Raw genomic sequence first — 27,100 nt, forward strand, 5'->3', positions numbered from 1 at the left:
CCACATTCCCAGATTTTAGCTTCCTTGAGTGATATTCCACATGAAAATGGGGAGGTATGTCACAATGGCAGACTTTAAAAATTATTACATAAACTTGAAAAGCACTTATGAATCTGTTATTTAGAATTTAGAACACGTTATTCCACAGGGAGGAAACCATAAACCTGAATTGGTACTTACACTGCACATATATTAATCTACAGTGTTATAATTAAACACAACATGCATATGCATAACTGAGTGCCTTCAGCATTTTCATATAAGATAGAACATTTACCTTGTAATTACTCCTAATGTACCTTAATGACACTGGATAAAAAAACTAAAACTTCAAATTCCACATCTGCTACTTGTATAAGACTACAAGGTAACCTCCTCCTGGAGGTTAAGTAGTGGAAAGAGAATTACCAAACTCTGTCACTTAACTTACCCCAGCAAGAATAGAATATTTTCAGCCCTCTAATCTTCCACATTAAGCTCTCTATTTTAATTTGTAAATTAGAAAATTAGAGATAAACCGTATATGTATCTTAACCCTGTTGGGAGTACAGAGCTCTTTGGCAGACATTTATATTTTTTCTAATCAGTTCCTCAATGACGATTACAATATGAGCTTCATATTCTCACTTGGGAAATTTTCATTAATTTGTTTTCATATAATTTGAAAACAAATACTTAGCTGTCTTCTTAGGAATAAACTGCCAACATTCAGAACAATGTATAATCTCCAACTCTAATCAAATTTTGAATCACAGATTCGTAAAACTGATAGCATCTGGTACAAGTGCCTCATTCTTAACAAAAAATTAAATGAATTAAGCCATATTCCAAAGCTAGTCAGTAGAACTAGGCCTAGAACCTAGATTCTGATTCTCTTTTCAGAGCTTTTGCTGCCATCCTTTACTACCAATTTAACCAAACCATATAACCTGGCCATTATTTATCAGCAATAAGACATTGATGAAATCAAAAGTTATACATACATCTCATCTGTGAAACGGAGCTAAAGGTACCTGCCTTTGAGGGGCCTGGGTGATTAAACTTGTTTGTATGACAAAGTACTCTGTAAAATGAAAAGCGCCATATACAATTATACATCATTTCTAACTACTTGGGGAAAGTAAAATGTGGCCATAAACCAATCACAAAGCTGTTTATCTAAGACTAGCCTCAACCTATGATTAAACAACTGCGGCAAAAGTCAAGTGACTGCACATTAGTGCTTCAGTTAGTAATAAAGGTATTAACAGATAAAAGTTATTACAGAAAAAATGTATTCTGACTAAACCAAAAGATGATTTAATTGTATATCTACATTCTTTATTCTTAAGAGCTGCCTTTTTAGCTTAACAAACGTGAATTAAAAGGTAATAAACAATGCCAAAAATATGGCATCTTCCTCTTAAGGAGACAATACACAAAATATTGGGAGGGCTACTGAGAAATTACTGACAAGGCTCTTCCACTCTAAAAGAAAAACAGTGAATGAAATGGCTCTTTGCTGTCTGGCCACACTTTAACGTTGTGGTGATAACTCAGAAAAGAAGTCCAGGGATATTTCTCAATACCCAGAGACAAAAAGCAGGGCTCATGACTATAGGGATACATGTAATAATACCATCTTAAATAGTTAGAGCATTTTAAACATTTTACCTTTCCTAAAGATTACATCTCATGAGATCTTTGTAATACTTTTATTAAGTAAATAAGGAATAGTCTGATACTCTAAGCTGAAAATCATCAAAATTAAAAACAAGCACAATATTATGTAGCATTTTCCTTATCTTTTATAATGAGGTCCATTTATGTTTATAAAACAAAAAGGTTCCATCAACTCAAATTAACTAGTTTATTTCTAGATTTTGATAACGATATTTCAAAGACAAAAAATCAACCCAAAGGTAAATAATGAACATCCTCTGGCCACTGCATACTACTGAGTTGGTTATCAAAAAAACAGTTTATCTATTTTGTAATTAATTTCCTGGCCATAAATTGCAAACTTTTTGATAATGTCCTTATGAATTTTTAAAATTAAATTTCAGTGTATGTATTTCCATACATATCCCTTTACCTCAGGGGGTAGTCTCTTTCTGTATCTTATTTTTTTCTTTTCTCACTTAGGGTCAACTTTCAGTTGACCTTCAGTATTCTCTGAAGTGTCTGCTCACAATTTAAAACTCTTATAAAAATTTTTTTTGGAGATAAGTAGTCCAGCTTGTTTTAAATTACTATCATTTTAAATCTGTGACACAAGGATAATTATGTAAAATGAAGATTTTTAAGAGATATAAATCTTTTAAGGAAAATAACTAAAAACAAATAGAAATCTTAACTAAAAATCTTATTTATACTAATAAAAATGCATTTAAATTGAGGCATTAAATAAAATCAGGTTTTACACCTTAAATCAAGGTAAATGACTTGTCAACTAATACATCACTTTAAATTTCACCTTAAAAATCAATCCAGTTAATGAACTGCATATCAAGAAGTATACATTTTATTGTTTATAAATTTAAAAAATTAACCTAGTTAAGAACAAATTGTTATTACAAAGCTATGTTTCTTTAAATAAATGGCAAATTTATCATTTTGGTAAATTTACTACCATTATAATACTTAATGTAGTTAGGATATCTTTCCACAATAACTTTAGGTAACTTTACTGCCATTTAATCATCCACAATCAGACTTCAAAATCAAGCTATTAAAATGAATGGGAATATGAACAACTTTTCTAATATGTATACATTCTCAAAAGAATCACTTATGTGATTGTTGTTTTAAGGAAAACTCAAATACTAAAACTTTGAGGCTTCAATTCCAGTCATTTTGGGCATTTCAACCTGAAAATAACAGATTAGAAATTAACTCTTAAATTTAGTACAAGCACAAGATACAATTTTGGTTTTTCAAAATGTCCATCAGAAAATAAGTATTTAACTTATATATATACATAGAAATATTTATTGAAATCTTACAAATTTCTATAAAGCCCCAAGAGGTCTCATATAAATAACACTGAGAATCTTCATTTTTATATCTAGACATACCATTATGAATATGGAAATGAAACTGCCATTTATCATAGAAGAATAGGAGCTGTTTTTGTAACTATTTATTATCCTTGCCATCAAATTTAGACCTAAGAGGCACTAAACATTGAAAGACAGGTACTAAGAACAAGTCAGAGATATACAATCTTTTACTTTAGAGGAACAGAGTCTCATGCTCCATTATTCATTTCTAACTAGACAGAATTCTGTGATTAGCCCTTAATTCAAGATGTTACAGATCAGCAAAACAGAATTAAGTCTGATTTTTGTTAAAAAAAAAAAATGCAGTCATTTTAGATACCAAAACTTCATCTAAAATGTGGAAAGGTGAATTTAGGTAACAGTGTCAACAATGTAAATTATAAACATTAGTCAGCTTATTTAAGACCAATCAATGCACTGTGTTACCATTAACAGAAAGGTTAAAATTCCAATGATGTCAAATTTTCCTACGTCAAATGGACCCAACCACAGGAATCAAAGATATTTTTCTTTTTTGTATTCTTATTCCCTCACACTGAAGTTTCTATTAGGTATTACACTATTATCTGATTATAAAATAGTTTACACTGTAACCATCAAAGATTTGGGGAAAAAAGCACTAAAATAACTAAAGCAGAATACCCTGTTCCTACCACTGTGTACAAACTTATCTGCTAGGCCAGCATTTAAAATTTTACAAACTATCCAGCAAGAATGCTAATAGAAAAGTGACAAACCTGAAAATATGGCTTCTTTCAAATATAGTAACATGTGGGAGAACTTCCTGATATCATTCACCAACTCCTTGATGTAATCCGGATCAAAAATAGAGTTGGAACTTAAGGACTTGAGCCCCATTTCAGAAGTTGTAATATCAGTAGAGAGTTGACCTGATGCCCAAGCACGTTTTTTCTTTGTCTTTTTCTGTTTGTGAGCAATCATCCTTTCATGTAACAGTCAGAAAAACTGAAATCCTTAAGGGGGCAAGAAACAAAACAAAAACAAGCGAGGAGAGAGAAAGAAACACAAAAACTAAATCAGCCAGGGAAATATTACACTAGATTTTCACAAACAGCCCACAGCTCACCTTGGTATCCTATTTTTAAATTTTTAAAAATCAAAAATCAATAATCAATCACTGTATTATTGATAATAGCAGTTTCCATTTATTAAATACCAGTAATTCCGACAACTCTGACATGCAAACTACTGTTCTTTACATTTCACAAATGAGGAACCTGAGGTTTAGAGGTTAAAAATTTGCCTTAAGCTCTCAACTGATAATGAACTAGGACTTAAACCTGTATCTGCCTTGATGCCAAAATCCATGCTCTTAATAACTTCCTCTTGATTCCTAGGGTATAGAATTTTATTTAATTGTAAAAGTTGTTCTGAAACATCACTTAGTAGAAGGTCATATTCTCCTTCCATGACATCACCTTCAAAAATAAAGATGAGATATGGGCTTTGAAAAAAGAAATACCTGTTCTTAAAATCCTCCTCTGTCACTTATTGTATGATCTATTCATCTCTTTACTTCAGTATGCTCATTTATAAAATGGGAGTAACATCCTGACAACACCTATCTCATGAGATTGTAGGGATTACATGACGCGATGATACAGAAGTGTCGAGAACATAGAAGTTCAATTACAGTTAGTTTTTCCTAATAATGCATATACATACATATACACAGACACACACACACAACACATCCTGGATTACCAAGTCTCATCAAGGATATTTCTTTGTTGAAAATAAGTTACAAGGGTGCCCACTAATCTGACATACTCTGACTGGTTAAATAAACACGTGTGATCATCAGAGCAATATTTTTGATAATCTCAGGATGGTAGTAAAAAGGTAATCTTTTGGTATGAGAAGAATTTAGATTTGAATCCTGGCTCTAGTATTTTCTAGATATGTGACCAGTACAATTTATTTACAGGCTTGTGTGAGGATGAAAAGGGATCACAAAATTAGAAGACTTCATATGTTAAAACACCTAATACTGGCACATAGCTGGAACTCAAGAAAATCATAGTTATTTTCTTCTTCACCCTCATTTTACCTTTCCAGAGTTAAAAGTTCTAATCTTGTTTGTATCTCTGGAAATCAAAAAGGAAATAACCGGAGGAATTAAATTAACTCACACTTTATTATTAACACTTTTTTTCAAGTATTTTGTCTTGAATATTTGGCTACTTTAAAAATGGTAGATGACTAAGGACTTCTATAAAATTTACAGTAGAAAGTTTTTTGGTTTTTTTTTTTTTTGGAGGGGGGAAGGGTTGAGTCTGGGTCTCACGCTATCACCCAGGTTGGAGTGCAGTGGTGTGATTATAGCTCACTGCAGCCTCAAACTCCTGGGCTCGGGCCATCTGCCCGCCAAAGCCACCCATGTAGCTGGGACTCCAGGGGCACAACACCACACCTAGCTAGCTAAAAAAAAAATTTTTTTTTTGTAGAGATACAGTTTCACTATGTTGCCCAGGTTGGTCTCAAACTCCTGGGCTCAAGTGATCCTCCTACCTCAGCCTAGCTAAATGCTGGGATTACAAGCATGAGCCACCATGCCTGGCCCACTAGGAAGTTTTATGTAATATCCGTTTCTAGTCATATGTAAGATACATTATTGTATCATTTACTCCTTCCTATATCTCACCCAACTCCATAGTTCATTTTTCTTTCTGATCTACAGGGTTCTCTAATCAACCCACTTCTCTCTACTGCTACCACACTAGTGAATTACCATCATTTCTTTTCTGAGCTACTATACTACTTTCCTAATGATCTATCTGCATCCATTCTTGTCTCATCACAAATGTAGTGAGTGAACATTTCAAACATAAATCTCATAATGTCATTTCTCTACTGAAAACCCTTCCAAAGTATAAGTGAGAAGCTATCATGCTCTACAAGGCTCAACATGAGATCTGGCTCCTACCTACCTGTGCAATGTCATATGGAGACACACCTGCTGGCTCTCAACACTCCTGCCACACACACCTCCTTCTCATTCTTCCAACAGTATTTGTTTACGATGACTCTCACCAGGAAATAATTTTACATAATAATACATGTTAAGTGTATTATGTTTGTGTGTGGCATGCTTCTGGGTAAGGCTCCATGGGATGTATGTGAGTTTTTAAAAATTCCATCCCATTTCATTTTTAAAAATGCTGGGTGCAACTCACCAACTTGGTTTCATACACATAATAGGTCATGACCCTACAGTTTGAAAAACACCAACTGTTCAGCTCAGGGTCCTGTCTATATGTAATTCTATTTGCCTGGAATATTCCTTCTCCTTTGTTTACTCACTCTGATCTCAGCTCAAAGCTTACCTCCTCAAAGAAACGTTCCTGGACCATCCCCATCCCCCAGCAAAACCACTACCATCAAACCAGAGTAGAATCTCCTGTGAGATGTTCCATAGTATCCTCTACTTTTCATCACTGCTCATACCACAGTTCAAATAGATCATGTCTTCCTAGCTAGAGTATAATCTCATGGAAATCAAGACCATGTATGTCTATTTGCTAACCATGTGTTCTCTGATCATAGCACAATGCTTGGCGTATGAGGAATGAACTACTTAGAACTATCTGCAGATAGGCTTATAAACTTATAAAGTTTCAATTAATTTTTATAGAAACAAAAATAACTCTGGGTTGTTGCAATGTTTTGAAGTGAAAATATAAATTTTTAAAAAACTCTCTAAAATGGTATGTTTCAAAAAGAAAAGTATATGAAGCTGAGGGAAGATTACATAAAACTGAAATCAAAGTTGGATTTCTATTATTGCTCCTCCTGATTATTAAACTGGGGACCACACTTTATAATTTTTAAAGTTTGTTTATTCACTGTCCTTTTGTCAATCTCAAATTATTTCTGAGAATCTAACTTCTACATTTAAACTAGTTTCAAACCTATCTAACATTAATCCTTATATGCATACATCATTTCTAAAATGAATCTAGGGCAATTTTTGAGCATTATTATTATATCTAAGTCTTCCTTCCCATCAACAAAAACAAAACAAAAATTCAAAGTGTCTTTTTTGGGCAGCTCTTTTACAAATCACTAACCAAAATGCCTATTAGCCTAACCAAACATCACTCTTGCAGTTTACTTAATAACGTCATTCTGTTTAGTTATGACAGCTTTTAAACTTGGTAAATTAGAGAATTGGTCACTGTCACTGGTAAAGATGGTTACAAAAATTAAAGACATTAAAACAATTTACCTATTTTAGCAGAAATAATTTACTTTAAGTAACTACATGTAAAATAGTAACCCAAACTTTCAAAGTGTTTCAAAACTGCTGGAACATTTTTAGACAAGACTTAAAAAATCTGCAAAAAACAAACACAGCAACAACAACATCAAACACATGGCAAGGAGAAGAGGAACTCTTTTCCTCTTATAAAAAAGGATTATACCCTATCTCTAGCCAGCATTATAATGATTAATGTGCTGATTTTGTTATATATTACTACTTTTCATATTCCAGAGTAAAAAAAGGAAACATTACAATTGAAAAAACGTTTAAAATAACAAACTTAACCCAAGCTTTCATAAATGAACTATGATAATGAGAAGCTGGAACAATACACACTTTCCAAGATCATATACACTACTTTCTCATGCGCGAAAATGAATATTCTCTTGTTGGAAGTAACATAAAACTTAGTTACTAACAGACTGCAACTGGCAACTTAATTAGGTAATGACGCATGCAAAGTACTTAGCAGAGTGCCTGGTTCATCATAAAGATGAACCATAAAGAAAAGTCATTATTACTAGCAGTGCTTTATTGTGGGAAATTGTTTTTGAACAAGATGTGGCTTCACTACAATACATAAGTGGATTGTGAGCAAGAAATACAGGACTGGAAACAATTGTAGAAACTTAACTGACTCTGTGGAAACCTACTAAAAAGCTTCCAAGTGAAATTTGAACTGTGCAAATAGACTTGTGCAAAATATTTTTGACACACTAATTCTGGTGCATCTCTTTCAACTTCAAACCAACAATATTAAAAACATGTATTATCCACTTCTCAAAGAATTCTCTAGCAAGTAGAAAATTACCGTGCAAAACCACTTCCATTGTATGTTGTAAATCTAAGTGTTGTGTGCATTAGAAATGTAGACACAAACTTCCTATCCCCCACGACTGCAGGAGCCTGTGTCAATCAAATGTCCGCTGCCCCACGCATGCCCCCTGCCAAATGCACATTACGGCAGTAGTTTCATTTTAGGCTCTCTAATTGAAGTGTAAAACTGCCCCCAAACATCTATACTTACTATTTCCCATTCTACCATTTCTTCTTGAGGAAAAATTGCCAGATATTTCAGAAATCTGCTATTTCAGCACAATTTCAGATTTGGCAAGAATCTACTTTGAGATGCTAAAAAGATTAGATGAGCTCATCCTAAAACGATGATTAAATCTTTATGGTTTTAAAAAGCACTCTCCACAAAAACAGAATAGGGACATGTGAGAAAGAGTTTTATCAATACTATGCAAACAATTTTTAAAGGAAGGCATGCAATACACATGCACTTCATTTCTGTACAGTTTGAACCTAGCACGCTTTAAAAAGAGGAAGCTGCCCAGCATCCCACCCCTCCAGAATGTCTAGCATTCCTGGCAGGCAGTACTCTCCTTTGACCAGCCAAAACTACTCTTTGCCAAAGAGCAAGTTCCTCATCCAAGAATTTAAACAAAGAGGGAAGAATGGAGCAACCAAAATGGACAGCCGACGGTGGTAACGACGGACAAAAGATAAACTATAGACAAGAGATACAGTCACAGAGACAGATGGAGAGAAGGGAAGGAGAGCTCAGCTCCTGCCATTAGCAGGTAATATCCTGCCCTCCGAAAACATTTGGGGCCAATACCCTCTGAGAAAGTTTTAAAAAGATAAACATAGAGACAAGAGGCTCGTCAGTCACGAGGGTTCCACCTTGAAACGTCCAACTCCAGCTCACCCGCCCCCCAAAAAATTTTTTTTTTTAATTAAAACTGTCAAACCCCAAAACACGTCCACAATTGAACTGGGACAAACCTCTGAGACTGAGGAAAACTCTCAACGAAACCCAAAAAACACAGACCAGGAGAAAATGCACCACGGAAATCCTAAAATATCTCAGGAATGAGAGCCCAACTGGAGTGAGGGCTGCAGTCAGGGCAGGTGGGAGCGGGAATAGAATCCAGGCAAGAACACAGACCCATAGTGATCAGGAGCACGGATTCCGGAGCAAAAGCGCCTGGGTTTAGGTCCTGACGCTGCCAACCACTAGTCTGTGTGCTTGGGCAGGTTTTTAACCTCGGTTTCCCCGTGTGAACCGAGTCGAACAATCATGGAGTGTTCTGAACATTAAAAGAGTTAAAATGTGCAAAGGCTTCAGAACAGCAGGCGGACCCGTTGTACGCGCTGTGTGCTAACTTTAATTACGATCGTCACCGTCTGCTCCCGGCCACCGCTGGCGTCCTCCCCAGCTCGTCCGCGCCTCCCTCGCCGGGCGCGCCCCTAGCCCCGGCCGGACCCTTCCCGTGGACTCCAGTCCTGGCTCGAGGACACCCGTCCCTAGCGCAGCCTGCCACCGCTTCCACTCGGGGCCGCCCCGCGGGCCTCCCGGACCCTGGACGGCAATTCGCGGGCGCTCGCGCGGGCAACCCCAGCCCGGAGCCACGACCGCCGCGGCCGGAGCAAGCGCCACCTCCTCACACTCACCACGGCGCTCCATCTCGCGTGCCGGACGCGGACGCCCGCCCCACACCTACGGCCGCCGCCACCGCCGAGGGCTGGAGCTCGCTGCCCCCATCCCCCACGGCCTGCGGACGCCCGGCCAAATCTCAGCCGCAGCCGCAGCCGCAGCCACAGCCACAGGCACCACCACCACTGCAGCCGCCACCGCCCCTGCAGCTACCGCCACGGCCGCACCGCCCGCCCGCCAGCCCCGCCCCCTGGAGCCCAGCCCATTGGCCCGCGCTCCCGGGGGCGGGGCCGGCGACCGCGGCAGGTACGGGAGGCAACTAGCTCGCGCGCAGAACGCGACCGTCAGTTGCGCGCGGCCGGACGCTGTCCCAGCATCACGGGCTGCGTCGGCTGCCCTTTTGGCTTGCAGGGGACAGGCAGAGCGACTCAGAGAAAAGTCACCTGAGGACTAGATGCGGCTAATGGCCAGATGAGCAGCTACATTTCTTATGAGACACTTCTGTGGATCGCCTTTTTCCTCCCTCTTCCAGGGGTTAGGGCCTGGGGAAGGGCGCCACACGTCTGAATGAAGAATGAACTACCTCAAAACCAGCCATCTACTCTGCCCCTCTGCCCTCTATGGAGGGTAATAGTTTCCACTTAGGCCTATCTGTATTTTTTTTTTTTTTTTTTTTTTTTTTGGAGACGGAGTCTCGCTCTGTCGCCCAGACGAGTCTAATGGCGTGATCTCGGCTCACTGCAACCTCCGCCTCCCGGGCTCAATTGATTCTCCCACCTCAGCCACCTGAGTAGCTGCGATTATAGGCACCCATTACCACGCCAAGCTAATTTTAGTATTTTTAGTAGAGGCAGGGTTTCGCTATGTTGGCCAAGCTGGTCTCGAATTCCCGACCTCCCGACCTCAGGTGATCCACCCGCCTCAGCCTCCCAAAGTACTGGGATTACAAGCATGAGCCACTGTGCCCGGTCCTTTCTTTCTTAGCTGCACTTTCAAACTCACTTCATAATGAGAAGAAAAAAAAAAGTCTGAGAAAGATGGAATAATTATAGCAAGCAGGGCTAGAAAGCACATAGTCCCTATATCACACCACTCGCTGGAACAAGCGATGGCACTTACCTCAGTGCTGGAACATTCAGAAAGAACTCATAGAGAAACAGAGGAAAAAACACAGGGAGGGAGACTGTGGGTAGCGCTGGGGTCTGCGAGAAAAATGACCACACACGGGAGAAACAGAAAAAGACACAGGAGAATGTGCTGAGGAAAACTGGAAAGAAAATGAGGTGCAGACACAGGAAAAGGGAAGAAAACCAAGGAAGGCAGAAATAAGTGAAGGCAAAAAGAGAAAATAAGGAAGAAAAATAAAAGGAGAGACTACCCACTTAACAAACAGAAAAGTAAGTGAGCATGACAGAACCAAAAGTAGGGTAGCGGGGCAAGAGAAAAACTCATTGACAAAGAAAGAGAAGAGGGACATCTTACATAGACATATCTTTGAACCCTTACAGGAAAAACAATGCTAAGAAAATACAACAAATTTGGCTCCTCAGGTGCTACTTAGAAAAGATAAATAAGAAAACTCAGCTCCTTGGTTACTTTGGCACCATACTGGATTTTTTGGACTCAACTTACACAGATTTTCCCCTCAAATCCCCAAAATAATAGTAACAAGGTCCTGCCACAAATAGGAAACCTCAAAAACCAAAATTCCTTCTAATCGTGCTGAAAAAGAAAAATGCGCCAAGGACTCTCACCATGGAAGCCAATGATGCCTGAACTGAAGCAAACTAATAAGAGGAGACAAAGGAGTCCCCAGGCCAAGGGGAGGCTGAACAGTGCAACTACGATTCAATCATAAGTAAGGTTTTTGGAAGGAAATTTTTGAGGAAGTCCCTCAACCTCAAACACCCTCTTAAGTCTATTTTAAAATATATTATTTTGCACTTATACACCATTTCCCTTAATAAAGAGGACTGTGTTGCTGACTAAAATGGAACTGGAAGCATCACTGACAAAATCATGAACAAGTTCCTGATGGAGAGAGAGGGTGTATGGATGGAGGTGGGGGTGTGACAAAGAGAAAGGAGCTCACAAGGAGGAGAGAAAAGCAGGGAAAGAGAGACAAAGGGAGAGACAAATATGTGAGAAGGAAAGAGAGACAACAATAAAGGAGAAAGAAAGACAAGAGGGAAAGAAGAAAGAAATATGCAGAGATAAGGGGAAGCAGAGAAAGAAAATGAGATGGAGAGAGATAAGGAAGATAAAAGAGACAAACAGAGGTGATAGAGACTACCCACCGATAGAGAAAGGAAAGAGGGTCATTTCTCACATGCAAACAGTTCTGGGGGAAATGAAGCCAATTAGGCTCTGAGGTTTTACCTTAAAAATACAAACATAAGAATCCAAGGCTCCTTGATTACCTGCTTCCACAATTATTTTTCAGACTTAATTTTTAAAATTTTTTCCATTACACCTCAAACCTAACAGTACTAATATGACAAGCAGTACTGAAGACACCTAAAAAACAAAGACTCCTTCAAACCCCACTGGAGAATGATGCACCATGGACACTCACCCAGTGATGACTCAAAACTGAAGGACATCAGTGGGGGATGAAGAAAGAATTCTGAAGGCCAAGGAGAGTGGGGTTGGACAACTCTCAGGGAGCTCAAGGAAGCAAAGTCTGTCCCTCATAGCTGCTCTGGGTTATTCTCAACACCCCCTAAACCAGAACTACCCCTAAACCATCCCAAAACAACCAACTACTGTGCATAGGATCTGACACAGAGTCACAATAGTTGGCTATTTGGGAATCGAGGAATGTTACTTAGAAGGTTAAATAAACTATAAGTAAGGTTGTCTAAGGGAAATTTTGAGAAGTCTCTCAATCTCAATCCTCCTCTTAAACCTTTAAAAAAATACATTATCTGCCATCCTTCATCCAGAGGATGATGACATTTGGAAATATTTGCAAAAATGGTAGTTTACTTTTAATTTAAAAGGGTTATTTTATTAATCTCCCCTGACTTGATTTTGTTTGAAGTAATTTATCACACAAATACACTTTAAATATGAAAAGCACATTAATAGATGCAATAATACCTTTCTGCAAGTCCGAAATTCTTGGTCTATAATAAAATTGTAGTGTTCAGAAAAAAAGAGTAAAACCATCAGTATATCTACCATAGCAGTCCAATAGCTTAAGTTTTTCAACAAGTTGCAGAAAAACATTTCTGGAAGCAACATATAATTTTTTTTAAATACTTGTGTTTTTACCATTTATATTACTATTGCCTCTAGTATTTTTTCCTTCTCAAACAGAAATTCACATCCTCTATGACACTGTTCAAGTCAGCCATTCGGTGCAGCCTTAACTTTTATATTCCCCAAATCTTCCTCATGTGTTCTCTTCAAAATGTTTGTGGTACCAGACTGCACAGATTAGTATTCTTTCTATCTGCAGTGGTGACATTACCAGTACTGTTAATTTTACTTCATCTTCCTGAAGACAATTCTGTAGTTTAGGTAGCCTACTTTTCATAGCAGAACATGGGTCTAAAAACATTTGACAATATCTGGAGACATTTTTTGTTGTCATAACTGGGGAGGGGGATTCTACTGACATCTAGTGGGCAGAGGACAGGGATACTGCTAAACTTCCTACATGCATAGGACTACCCTCATCCCCAAGAAAGAATTATCCTGCCCAAAAGGTCAATAGTGTCAAGGTGAAACACCCTGTTCTATATCCAATTACCACTTTATAAAAAACTATAAGACCTAAGAACTTGTTAAATTATGCCACAGTATATACCCAGAAAAATCTGGACTGTGGGCCATTTTATAGCATAAACGTGATTTCTTCAACAAATAAACTGCAGGAAAAAAGATGGAAAGAAAAATCTCTAGATTATCCTTAAAAGATATATCAAATGCAGCCAGGTGCGGTGGCTCACGCCTGTAATCCCAGCACGTTGGGAGGCCGAGGCGGGCGGATCACCTGAGGTCAGGAGTTTGAGACCAGCTTGGCTAATATGGTGAAACCCCATTTCTACTAAAAATACAAAAAATTAGCCGGGCGTGGTGGCGTGCACATGTAATCCCAGCTACTCGGGAGGCTAAGGCAGTAGAATCGCTTGAACCTGGGAGGTAGAGGTTGCAGTGAGCCAAGATCACACCACTGCACTCCAGCTTGGGCAACAAGAGCAAAACTCCGTCTCAAAAAATAGTAATTTTATATATAATTATATATATATCTTATATATATAATTATATATGATATATATAATTTATATATGTAATTATATATGATATATAATTTATATATAATATATATTTATATATATATATATAAAATCAAATGGAGGAATAAATAAAAACAGACATACTCTTCCCTGTAGTAAACAACTAGAAAAATGGACAAAATATATATTGTTTTCAGACACCGAACTACACACCGCACTGGGCTCAGGGCTGTCATCTCTGAGAGATGGGATCATAAACAAATGAGGTAAGCCCCACAATTACCCCAACTTTCTGCCTAAAGTCACATTCTTGACCATAGCACCCTTGACAACTTGAAGAGACAGAGATCATGGTTCCAGGAGATTGGAGTTGCCAGAATCTGTAGGACAGAGTACCAGAGACTAAGGATGTAGAAAAAGAAAGAGCTCCAGAAATTTGCATAGGGAATTTCTTAATTATCTTGCTGAACACCAAGATGCACATGTATACAGCAAAACACAACAAGGATTGGCAAATAATTTCCAGAAAGCTATAGATGGACGATTCCCAGGTTTCCCACAGGGCTGGAAGAACTCCACATTTTCATCAGCCAGAGTAGAGAGACCTACTGAACACCCCAGGGAGACCCCAGGGCATGCCTCATAGTACATCTAACCTAGCTTTAGTGAAAACTATACTCTAGCCACACCCCAACAAAGCTTCAAAACAGGCACATTTTATAATTTTTTTAAAAGCTGATGTTTAAAACAAAGTAGTAACAATATGTTGTGGCATTTATAACATATACAGAAGCAAAATCTATGACAATAGCGTAAAGGAGGAGGAAATGAAAGTATACAGTAAGGTTCTTACATTATAGGTAAAGTAGTGTAATACTATTTGAAGGTATACTGTAAGTTAAAAATATATACTAAAATCTCCAGAGATAAAGTTAATTAAGCCAATAGTGGGCATAAATAGAATTTCAAAAAATCAAAAAAAAAAAAAAGGCAGGACAAGAAGAAAAAGGAAACAACAAATGGAACAAATAAAAAAACAAACAGCAAAGTAACAGACTTAAACCCAATCATACCAATAATTACATTAAATATAAATAATATAAACAGCCCAATAAAAAGGCAGAGATTCTCAGAGTGAGTAAAAAAGTAAGACCCAACTATATTTTTCCTATTAAAACACAGACTTGAAATATAATGACACAGATACATGGAAAGTAAAACAACAGAAAAAGACACACCATGCAAATATTAATCATAAGAAAGCCAAAGTAGCTCTATAATATAGGTATCAAAGAATTTTACCAAGGATAAAAAGCAACATTTCATAATGATAAGTGAGTCATTTCATCATAATGACAACAATCCTGAAGGTATCTGTACCAAAAATAGAGGTCCAGAGTATGAGAAAAAAACTGAGAGAAATGTATGGAAAAAATAGACAAATCCCCAATGACAGTTAAGATTTCAGCACTCTTCTCTCAGTAATTGATAGAATAACAGAAAATCATTAAGGATCATTAAGGACATAGAATACTTGAATAGCACTATCAATCAACTTGACCTGATAGACATTTACAGAAAATTCCACCAAAAAACAGCAGAATATGCATTCATTTCAAATGTATATGGAATATTCATAAGATAGGCCATATATGGGATAAAAAGAAGTCCCAATGAACTTAAGAGGACTGAAATCACACAGTGTATGTCCTCTGATCAAAACAAAATTAAATTTGAAACTAGTAACAGAAAGATAGTCAGGAAATCCCCAAATATTTGTAAATTATAAAATATAACTTTAAAATAACCAATGGGTCAAATTTCCACAAGGGAAATTTTAATATATTTTGAACTGAATGAAAATGAAAACCCATTTCAAAATGTGGAGATTACAAAGTAAAAGTCATGGTTAGATAAAATACACAGTTTTAGATGCTTTATTGTAAAAGAGAAGGGTCTAAAGTCAATATCTAAGCTTCCACTTTAAGAAGCTAGAAAACAAAGAGCAAATTATACCCAAAGTAAGCAGAAGGAAGTAAATAATGATAAGAACAGAAATCAGTGATTTAGAAAACAGAAAACAGAAAAAAATCAATATAACCAAAAGCTGGTTCTTTGAAAAGATTAAATTGATAAATATCTAGCTAGGCTGATCGAGAAATAGAGAAAACACAAATCACTAATATGAATGGAAGAAACGACATCAGTACAGACCCTACAGACACAAGGATAAAAGGATACAAGGGAATGTTACAAAAAACTTTGCCAATAAACTTAACAACTCAGATGAAATGGAAAAATTCTTTGAAAGACACAGATTACTAACCCTGACACAAGAAACAGAAAATGTTAATAGCACTACATGTATTAAATAACTGAATTCATTATTTAAAATTTCCCACAAAGAAAACTACATCTACATGAGCTTCACTGATAAAATTCACTGAACCAGATAAAATAATCCTATACAAACTCTTGGAAAATACAGGAGACAAGAACACTTCCCAACTCATTCTATGAGGCCAGCATTACCCTGATACCAAAACCAGACAAAGACATTACCAAAAAAAAAAACCACACACAAAAAAAACAAAAACACACACAAAAAACAAATTTCTTAACACAGTATTAGCAAGTCAAATCCAACAATATATAAAAAGGATAATACATAATGCCCAAGAAGGGTCTGTCCAAGGAATGCAAGCTTAGTTTAACATTCACTAGAAAAAAACCATGTGATCATCTCAAAAGATGCAGAAAAAGCATCTGACAAAATTCCATGGCCATTCATGATTAAAACAGTCAACAACGTAGGAATAGAAGATAATTTCTTCTATCTGATAAAGGGCATCTACAAAAAAAACCGACAGGTTTTCTCCTTAAGATCAGGATTAATATTGTTACTGAGGGTCTTAGCCAGTACAGTAAGACAAGAGAAAGAAATAAAATGCATTCACATTTAAAAAGAAAGAAGTAAAATACTCAGAGATGGTGGGTTGGGGACTTAAAAAAAAATCTTAAGAAGCCTATAAGCTACTACATCTAATAAATGAATATAGCAAGGTCACAGAATACAAAGTTAATACACTATAATCAATTTTATTTCTATACACTAACAACAAACAATTGAACAAAAAAATTTAAAACTTCTGCTCTTTGAGAGACAGTGTTGAAATAAAACACAAGCCACAAATTGGGAGAAAATATCTGACAAAGAATTTGTAACCAAATATATCAGGAACTCTTACAATTCAATAAAAATAAAACAACAATCCAATAAAATAATGAGTAATGAAGTGAACATATGCTGCACAAAAGAAGATACACAACTGGGCAATAAGCACATGAAATATTGCTCAATACCATTAGTATCAGGGAAATGCAAATTTCAACTTCTATGAGATACCACTGAATAGTCAGAAGAAATTTTAATTTCAGCTAGACTGAAATACTAAGTGTTGGTGAGGATGTAGGGCAACTGTAACTGTAATACATGCTTCTACATACAAGGTATACAATCACTTTGTGAAACAGCCTGGCAGTTTCTTACACAGGAAATGTACATTTAACATACAACCCAGTAATTCTCCTTTTGTATGCATCCAAAAGAAATGAAAACATATATTCACCCCTAAACTTGTATACAAATGCATAGCAATTTTTTTCATGATAGTCAAAAACAAAACAACCCAAACTCCATCAACAGATAAACAAACTGTGGTACAGCCTTACGATGGAATACTATTTAACATTACATATCCATGACATAGGAAAAAATCATAGATGAATCTCAAAAGCATTAAGCTAAATGAAAGAAGCCAGGCACACACACACTGTATATCTTTGGTATGATTCCATTTACATAAAATTCTAGAGAATATGAACCTAATCTTAAATGACAAAAGAATTTCGTTGCCTAGGAATGCAGTGGTGGTGTAGGTGTGGGGGAAATTGCGAGAAGCCTTTCATTTCCTCCACTAAAAATAAAGCATCCCTTTACTTTCCCATAGGATATTCAACATACTTGGGAAACTCACGATATTATACCTTGGGCCCCATCAATATTGTCTATTGCTACCGAAGATGCAAAGGTTCTACAGGACTGTCTACCACAAAATGGGATCAGACTAAATTTTCTTAGTGAATGCTGAATGAATAAGTGACACGAGAATGAAAATTCTTTAGGGTGACTTCTGGGCATGAACTTTGTTCAATGTGGTTATACTAACCCCCGGGACCAAGAGCAGTGGCTATAAAAGCCCATGTTCCTAGGTCAAGAGCCTTTACATGTGAGGAAGTGAAGGTGCTTACAACTGAGGTAGATACACTATTTTAAGGAGGTAAGGGGAGCAGTAATGACCAACCACTATACATTCTTGGGCAGCGCTTTTCTACATCTCAGCCAAAGTTCTATTTCCTGCCAAATTGGGGACTAAAACATTTTCTACTCAGGTCTATTCTATTTTCTTCAAGTTCACTCTTAAACTCTTCTCAGAATCATCAGACAAGAACTGTATACATACTGTAAAGCTCATGAAGCTTAAGCATCAGGGTTGCTTACTTACACAGTTCCTGTAACAAGGAGGCATTTTGAAATAAGCATTTCTGGCAAACTGCGTAAAGAAATCACTACAGAAAGGGACCTAATCTCCAAGACTCCCATAATTTTGTTGTGATTCACTCATTCTGAATATTCACTTTCATATCTAATTTTGAAGTATTTTTCTTGAAAGGGGAATCTCCTCTCCCAAACTGAATGAGGAGGAAGCGAAGCTAATTCCCAAAGATTAATAAAGAAAAAGGTAAATGTAGAACAAAAAGGTACTTAGAACTTTCATAAAACATCTCCTAACATTCCCCTTCCCCCCGCCAACCCCTCCATCCCCCGCCCAAAAAAGATCCATCTTTAGAAAACAGAGGATGTCAAAGATCCAAAAAAAACAATGTGGAACGCCACCCTTGGTTTTTAAAGAGGGGTGGTGGTGGTGAAAAGGTGAGATAAACTAGGACAAATCAGAGGGGCTGAAAGACAAGGGAGGAACGTCCTTGGCTGCTCTGTTTAAACCAAGGCAAGATCCTCCCTGGGAACACCGGGTTTCTATCACAGACCGGGTCCTGGGACACCTAGTGAAACAAACGCACAGGGGTCCGCTCTCTAGGTGGTAGGTGCAATCTCCCAGCTTGTCCCTTCCTATTTTGCAGAGCACACGACTTGCCCTAGAGCCATGGCTGGGAAAAGGTGGAAGGGCGAGACCAGGCAGTAATGAGTGGGGAGAGAGAAGGGGAGGAGTAGGGTGGGAGGGAACGACAGAGACGCTCCAGAAGGGGCACACGGTGAGAATGCGCAAGACGGTGTTTTACAACCTTAGATCTCCCTCCCCCAAAGTAATAAATAGCCAGGGTCTAGGTGAGGTGAAGTGCAATAAGAAAAAGTAAATATGGAACATGAGATGTCTGTTTTACTCAGCCTTTGCATGTGTCAGACTGAAATTTCAGAAAACGTCACCAAACTTCCAAAAAGCATCCCCAGTAAGAAAGACGGACTTGAGACCCGGTGAAGAAAACCAATGGGGTAAGGGTAAAGGAGCCCCTGAATTCCGCAGTGAGGCGATGAGGGCTGGTGGCTAGCAAAGGGAGCGGGGCTGAGACACGCTCGGGGAGTCCTGTAAGGGGAGGAAAGTCCACCCGGCCAGCTTCTCCCCTGCTGCCCGCCGGCGTCACACAACTCAGAGCGCGCACCCGGGGTCCGCGGCGTACCGGCAGCGCCCGCCCGCGTCCTCTCGCTCGTCCGCGCCTGCCTCGCCGGGCGCGCCCCTAGCCCCTGCCGGACCCTGGACGGCAACTAGCCGGCGCCCGCGCGGGCGACCCCAGCCCGGAGCCACCACCGCCGCGGCCGAAGCGAGCGCCACCTCCTCACACTCACCACGGCGCTCCATCCCGCGTCCCGGACGCGGACGGCCGCCCCACACCTACGGCCGCCGCCACCGCCGAGGGCTGGAGCTCGCCGCCCCCATCCCCCACGGCCCGCAGACGCCCGGCCAAGTGGCAGCCGCAGCCACAGACACCACCACCACCACCACCACAGCGGCCGCCGCCTTTGCAGCTACCGCCACGGCTGCGCCGGCCGCCTGCCCCGCCCCTTGGAGCCCAGCCCATTGGCCTGGCCCGCGCTCCCGGGGGGCGGGGTCGGCGACCGCGGCAGGTTGGGGCGGCTGCTCGCTCGCGCGCAGAACGCGGCGGTCAGCTGCGCCCGGCCTGAAGTTGTCCCAACCGCGGCCGCGTCGGTCGCCCTTTTGACTTGCAGCAGGGCGGGCAGAGCGACTTAGAGGAAAAGTGACTTTTTGTACCCTCCTGCAGGGAGCAGGTTCTCTGTCCTTGTTTAATTAGACATTTCTCAGGTGGGCACTTTGAATTCCTTCCAGTCAAGACTCAGGTGTTCAACTTGTTTTGTCGGCCGTCTTCCTCCACCCTTCTTCTCCCATTCAAAACAAAAGTACGTTTTGTGCTTAACTTTAAAACTCCCCCCACTCTTTTCTGTCTTCAACTGATTGTCACTTTCAGCAAACCAAATAAATTACTCAAAACATCAGCTATTATACAGTCCCCGACACATGGCAGGTGCTCAGTAGATGCTAGTTGATCGCATGTCCCCTAACCACGCTACCTGCTTCTTACCATTAAGTGCTCCTTCAGTCATGGGACTGATCAACACGGTGGAGGAAGCCGCAACCAAAATAAAACATTTATCTAGATGTTGGATCACACATCATATCATGTATGGAGGAAAACAAAACACTGCATTTATATATAATATATATTAGTAACACTTACCAACTCTACTAAGAATACCTTTCCTGTCACCTGTGCTGACACATAAGCACTCCATGAATATTAGCTGATTAATGGGTAAAATTATGGAAAGGGAATTTGGAAAAATCACTTAATGGCATCTTCCCTTTAAATATTTTTCAAAAAGATTAAATATCTGTCATATTCTTCACCCTTCTTCGTTAGGAGAAATATATTTGAAAACATTGTCAAAGGAAGATGTTTTTGTTTTGTTTTGTTTTGTTTTAGAGAGAGACAGGGCCTTGCTCTGTGCTCAGGCTGGAGTGCAGTGGCACAGTCATAGCTCACTGAAGCCTTGAACTCCTGGACTAAAGGAATACTCCCATCTCAGCCTCCTGAGTAGCTGGGACTACAGGCTTGTGTCACCACACCCAGCTAGCTCTGTTGTTTATTTTTATGTTTTGTGGAGATGGAGTCTTCGCCATGTTGCCCAGGCTGGTCTCAAACTCCTGGCCTCAAGGGATCCTCCTGCCTCATCCTCCCAAAGTGCTGGGATTAGAGGCATGAGCTACCACACCTGGGTCATTTTTATAAGTAAATATGATTATTAACTGAGAAAGGGTGAATGTCAAACATCTGCTATGTGGGATAAATGGCTGTGTTTGGCAAAGAAACTAAAAAATAAGGGGCAATATCTCCACCAAATCCTCTAACACTGACTCAGCATGTGCCCTGAATCATCTTATAAGCCAACTAGGTTTTTTACCTATAAATGTTTCTTCACTAAAGTGGCTCATGATCATGGTTTTGGAGGACGAGGACTAACAGACACACAAACAAGAAATCAAAGGCATAACTGGATAGTGCATTAATAATGAAGCATGTATGACAGATGATGTGGTATTGTTATTTTATAATTACAGTATATATTAACACATATCCACTCTGCTTATTGAAATATTTTTCATTCCTTCCATGATAGAGAATCCTGCCTCTGCTCTGAAGCCTTTCTGTTCGCTCCAGTGAAAATTAGTCATCCACCGGGCGCGGTGGCTCACGCCTGCAATCCCAGCACTTTGGGAGGCCGAGGTGGGTGGATCACTTGAGGTCGGGAGTTCAAGACCAGCCTAACCAGCATGGAGAAACCCCATCTCTAGTAAAAATACAAAAAATTAGCCAGGTGTGGTGGCGCATGCCTGTAGTCCCAGCTCTTGGGAGGCGGAGGCAAGAGAATCGCTTGAACCCAGGAGGCAGAGGTTGTGGTGAGCTGAGATTGTGCCATTGCACTCTAGCCTGGTCAACAAGAGTGAAACTCCATCTCAAAAAAAAAAAAAGAAAGAAAATTAGTCATCCTATTTGACATCATATTGTACATAGGATACTATTCTTGTGGCACTTATGGTTTTGGTGCCATGGTTTTTGGCAGTGTTTATGCTAATTAGATTGAAAGTTCCACAGTACTACATTAGTTAGGTCTGTATCTAATACAGAATGGGCCCCCACTAAGAATTTTCTGGAGGGATGTTGAGGGCATGAATGGTAGGCCCAGCAGTAAAAATTCTTCCAGTGTGATTTTTTTTTTAAATCACAAACTGCACTCAACTTGGTTGTATCTAGTAGAACCAAATATGATGGTCACAAAAACCTCATGTCTAAAGCAAAGCCTATCCCAGATATCCTGTTCCCTGAGGTGAAGGGACTGATCACAAGTGTGCATGTTCCATGTGGGTGGTGGAGGTGGGAGCCCAGCCCCACAGGGGAGCAGAGTGGACAGGTGCTCTTCCCCTCTGCCACACTTCAACAGCAGTCTGTTTAGGAGGGACCCACATTGTCCATCATGTCTGTTGTATTTTTATTGATTCCACAAATATTCACTGAATACCTCTAATGTGCCAGACATTGTTCTGAGCACAGGGGATATATCAGGGAATTTTAAATCCACCCTTAGATTCTCCTCAACCATGATGAATAATGCCTGGGAGAGGGGAAGAAGTAATGGAAGCCTGCACGGGTGGCCCCAAGGCAGGCAGTCCTTGGACTCCCTGGACTGCGGCTGTCCTTGACCTCACTGCTGGGGCATGTAAAAGGAACGACTCAGAGTCTAACAGGCCACAGTGAGTACAAAGCCTCCAGATTCCAAGGTGGACAAAACTCACCAAGCAGGTTATTAATCTTGATTCCATGATGGGTGTAATTGAGAAACAAGGAATCAATTCAGACCTCATGCTGGAAATGAATGTGAAAGACATTACCAACATCCAAGAATTCTGTGCTGTCATAAGGACAGGAAACTAAGATTGACAAAAATAAAGAAATATTTGAGTATATAGATGAAGATATCATACTCATGTTACGTCCAAATTAAGTTACTACATTTCGAACTCCAATTTTTAATGTGTTTTAAACTTTCTTATAAGATTTTGATGATATAAACCTCTGTGCTTGAGCCATCACATACCATAACCCTACCTGATGTCTTAGTAATATGTATAAGGTAACTCCCCTAATAATTAATGATCAGTGCCAAAAATAATATTAGCCTTAAAAATGCAATTATTGATACTACTGTGAATAAAAAGATTATGGTGGTAGTAATAATAACTAGCCATTTATACTTTACTCCGTGCTAGTAAACTATAAATGTCTAGTTATTGTGCTAGTGATACACTTTTAATTATACTTTACATTTCATAAATTATTCAGTCCTCACAATAACCTATGAAGTGCTATTATCATACCCATTTTTTTTTTTTTTTTTGAGAGGAAGTCTTGCTCTGTCACCCAGGCTGGAGTGCAGTGGCGCAATCTTGGCTTACTGCAAGCTCCACCTCCCGGGTTCACGCCATTCTCCTGCCTCAGCCTCCCAGTAGCTGGGACTATAGGTGCCCACCACCACGCCCGGCTAATTTATTGTATTTTTAATAGAGGCGGGGTTTCACCGTGTTAGCTAGGATGGTCTCGGCCCCCCAAAGTGCTGGGATTACAGGCGTGAGCCACCGTGCCTGGCCTATCATACCCATTTTATAAATGAAAAGCTGAGACACAGAAGAAGTTCAATGAAGAATTTCTGCTGGACTTCATGGAAATTGACATTAACATGAAGTTAAGTTTGACCATACTTCTCTTAGAAAAAGATATTAGGAAATGACTCCTCTTATTCTACCTCTGCGTCTCTGTCCTTCTTGCTCTTCCCCAGGTACCCCAAAGTCCCTTTTGCCTCAGGACTTTTGCCTTTGCTGTTTCCTCTGCCTGGAATTGGCTTTTCCCATACATCTACGTGACTTGTTCCTTGCTCCCTTTTCCTTGCTGCCTTCTGGTCTCTCCTCAAATGGTCCAGATTATTGACATGTTCCTTGACTCCTCCATAAAAACAGCATCCCCCTTTTTGATACTCCCTTTCTTCCTTACTCTGCTTTAATTTTTGCACTTATCCCTCTACTGACTTGATATAGATTTATTGGTTTATTTACAGATTTTTTAAATGTCCCCTTACTAGTATGGGTATGTTAAGTTCTATGAAAGAAGGGACTCTGCCTGCTTTGTTCACCACTGTGTTTCCAGCCCCTGGAAAAGTACTTGGAATTCATCAACGAATGAAAGATTTAAAGAAAATAACAATACAATATATCCAAACATTAGAGTTATCTTTTGAAAAGATTAATTTGTTAACATTTTGAGAGTTTTAATCAGATAAGAGAACTATATTACATTGTTTGAGAAAGATTTTACTTTAGCTGCTTGTAACCAATATACTAACATATGACAAGTTTCATGACTTCACCAAATCTTTATCTGAAAGAGCCATAAGTAACTCAAGAATCTTACATTATAAAGTTCTGCTTATAGCTTGGTTCCCTTTCTTGGGTTTCTGGGCTCTGCTAGTTTAGAGGCCTTAGTAACTTAAGGAAGAACGCTTCTTCCAAGGAACACAATTTTTTCATAGAAGTAAAAGTGAAGCCTCTGGTCATTTGCCTCTGCTGCTTTCAACAGGCAAATAAAGGATAGTTACAGTGTCGGCTGGGGTGTTTGTCCAAGATCACCCTGTGCCGTAGAGGCAGGAGAAGCAGTCCAGGGAGTCCTCAGGCAAACCTGCTGACATTCAGGGGCAGGTTAGTAGATAACAGCAGCCTGACCCTGCCCATGCTACCAAGGGTATACTTACATCAGTAATAAAAGTTCGGATCATGCCAAACAACCTAAACAACCCAATCAGCCAAAGTTTTAGAGTAAGGGAAAGGGAACAAATCCCCATGGCCTCGTAAGTATTCTAATAGAAGTTCTCTAATGAAAAAAAAAAAGAATCTTAAATTATTTCCTTCCTTCTTTAAAGTAGAGGGGTAAACATTTTCCACGATTGTTTTTTTCTTTCATCGATTCACCAAATGGTGACTAGATAAGAAAGCAAATACTGCTCCCCTTAACCTGTGTATTCTATGATCCTCACAAAATACCTGTAAGATAACAAAATGAGATCTGTTTTTCTGATAAAATTTCATAAGTTTCAGAATCAAAGGGATCTTAGAGCTTATTCACTTCATTCTCCTTTATTTTTTTTTTTGAGACAGAGTCTCAGTCTGTTGCCCAGGCTGGAGTGCAGTGGCGTGATCTCGGCTCACTGCAATCTCTGCCTCCTGGGTTCAAACAATTCTCCTGCCTCAGCCTCCTGAGTAGCTGGGACTACAGGTGCATGCCACCACAGCCGGCTAATTTTTTGTATGTTTAGTAGAGACAGGTTTCACTGTGTTGGCCAGGATGGTCTTGATCTCCTGAGCTAGTGATCCGCCCATCTCGGTCCCCCTAAGTGCTGGAATTACAGGTGTGAGCCACTGCGCCCGATCCATTCTCTTTTATTTTATAAGGAAATCCCAGCCCAGCTTTCCCCGGGCTTACAGTTAGTCACTGGCCTGACTAGACTGGAACCAAGACCAGGGCCCTTTCTACACTAATGTTTTAAAATCTCTGTAAATCTATGAAATTAAATGAAAGCACTTGCCTTGATCATTCTTAGTTTAATGAGTAAATATTTGAGCTATACTAACATGTTTAAATATGAAATTTGTTCTACAAATTTACTCCTATTATTTTGGAGGTCTGACTTATTGTACTAAAAATTATGGCCCTAAACAATGGATGGCTTAACATACAACCAGTGAGGAGCTTGGGTTGCTCTTGAAGTAGGAAGTTGTCCGCAGGCATCTGGAACACACACGCACGCACGCACGCACGCACGCACGCACGCACATGCACACATTAAGGCTTTTCTCTAAGGGAGAAGGCTGGCTGGCTTTAGGAAGGAGTAGAGCCCAATGGAAACATTACTAATATTTCTTTATCTACCCACTGAGCAAGTACTGCTGAACTCTCTGAGAAACAATGCTACTACTAGTGACTTAGTGACTTCAGTGAGTGTTTATCTTTCTAACTACATATTTATATAGGGGTGGCTGCCTGTGCCATGCTTGCCAGAGAATTGAGAAGTGACTGCTTGTAAAAGTTGGAAAATATTTGGTTTAGAAACCTGTTTTTAAATTCACTCAAGATAAGATTACATTTTATAGTATTAGAAGAACTATTATCATCCAACCATTTAGATACCTGGATTTAAATGATTTTATTCTGAAATTATCTCAATAGCTGACAATGTGTGGCTTAAATTAGAAGAAGGCAAATACAAGTTAAAGTAGTACTATGAGTTAATAATTCTATAATATTGGTATCTAGAAATGTCTATAGATGCTTTCACTTCAAAGACCTTCAAAAATATTGATTGTCACTGATGGATTGACACCCTTTACCTTATTCTTCTTGATGACGTATTTAGTTTAGGATACTCATGAATGCAATTAAATTTTGTCTGGGAGCTACATGGTACTAGAATATATGAGGTCACAGACATAACCATATATCCTACTAGCCAAAAAACTGATGAAATACCTGTTACATAACATCACTGAAACCATCAGCTTAGTAGATTCAGGGTGGAGAACAGATAGAATGGCAAACAAGGCTTGAAGACAGTAAGTTGCCTTGCTTAGGAGTTAGCCTGAATTGGCTGCAAGGTGAGAAATGCTTTAGATCTCTTCTGTGAGTCCATGAAGGCAATACTGCTTGGCAATCTGACTTCTAGTAACTTCCTCCTGGGTAATGACTAAGAACCAAGAGGAGGTGAAAAAGAGCTCCATTCGGGAAAAATGACTAAAAGGTAAAACAAGCCTACTAAAAAACCAGAACCTAAGGAAATGAGTAGACCGGTAGGCAAGTGGTCTTATCCAGACCTTGGAGTTGCTTTGTGAGTCAG

At 39.3% G+C, this 27,100-nt stretch overlaps 1 protein-coding gene and 1 long non-coding RNA gene across 12 annotated transcripts in view, besides 4 other annotated features; one reads left to right on the forward strand and one right to left on the reverse strand.

The window, feature by feature from the left end:
• ARHGAP29 (Rho GTPase activating protein 29) overlaps positions 1–27,100 on the reverse strand; it is a 145,688-nt gene that overhangs the window by 58,724 nt on the left and 59,864 nt on the right. For 3 of the 8 annotated variants that reach the window (XM_047434759.1, XM_047434754.1, XM_011542439.3), the window contains one exon: positions 3,779–4,015. In XM_047434759.1, coding sequence (XP_047290715.1) covers positions 3,779–3,983 — 205 coding nt within the window. In that variant the 5' untranslated portion in view covers positions 3,984–4,015. Of the gene's footprint in view, positions 1–3,778; positions 4,016–9,786; positions 9,957–19,936; positions 20,119–27,100 lie in introns of those variants that run through there. The other 5 variants (NM_001328666.2, NM_004815.4, NM_001328664.2 and 2 more) reach the window with 4 other exon arrangements.
• Positions 9,680–9,919: a silencer, noted in NCBI's record as "silent region_1092". NCBI's record gives its function as "represses an Ori minimal core promoter by ATAC-STARR-seq in GM12878 lymphoblastoid cells {active_cell/tissue: GM12878}" and the evidence as "EXISTENCE:reporter gene assay evidence [ECO:0000049][PMID:35858748]".
• Positions 9,930–10,159: a silencer, noted in NCBI's record as "silent region_1093". NCBI's record gives its function as "represses an Ori minimal core promoter by ATAC-STARR-seq in GM12878 lymphoblastoid cells {active_cell/tissue: GM12878}" and the evidence as "EXISTENCE:reporter gene assay evidence [ECO:0000049][PMID:35858748]".
• Positions 20,000–20,089: a silencer, noted in NCBI's record as "silent region_1094". NCBI's record gives its function as "represses an Ori minimal core promoter by ATAC-STARR-seq in GM12878 lymphoblastoid cells {active_cell/tissue: GM12878}" and the evidence as "EXISTENCE:reporter gene assay evidence [ECO:0000049][PMID:35858748]".
• Positions 20,110–20,319: a silencer, noted in NCBI's record as "silent region_1095". NCBI's record gives its function as "represses an Ori minimal core promoter by ATAC-STARR-seq in GM12878 lymphoblastoid cells {active_cell/tissue: GM12878}" and the evidence as "EXISTENCE:reporter gene assay evidence [ECO:0000049][PMID:35858748]".
• Positions 20,240–27,100, forward strand: part of ARHGAP29-AS1 (ARHGAP29 antisense RNA 1) — an 86,939-nt gene continuing 80,078 nt past the window's right edge. Inside the window, exons 1-3 of one of the 4 annotated variants that reach the window (XR_001738153.3) lie at positions 20,240–20,506; positions 21,785–21,891; positions 22,751–22,916. This is a non-coding gene — a long non-coding RNA (ARHGAP29 antisense RNA 1). The remainder of the gene's footprint in view (positions 20,507–21,784; positions 21,892–22,750; positions 22,917–27,100) is intronic. The other 3 variants (XR_001738152.3, XR_002958338.2, XR_001738151.3) reach the window with 3 other exon arrangements.

The sequence above is a fragment of the Homo sapiens genome, chromosome 1 (assembly GCF_000001405.40).
Source record: "Homo sapiens chromosome 1, GRCh38.p14 Primary Assembly".
NCBI lineage: Eukaryota > Metazoa > Chordata > Mammalia > Primates > Hominidae > Homo > Homo sapiens.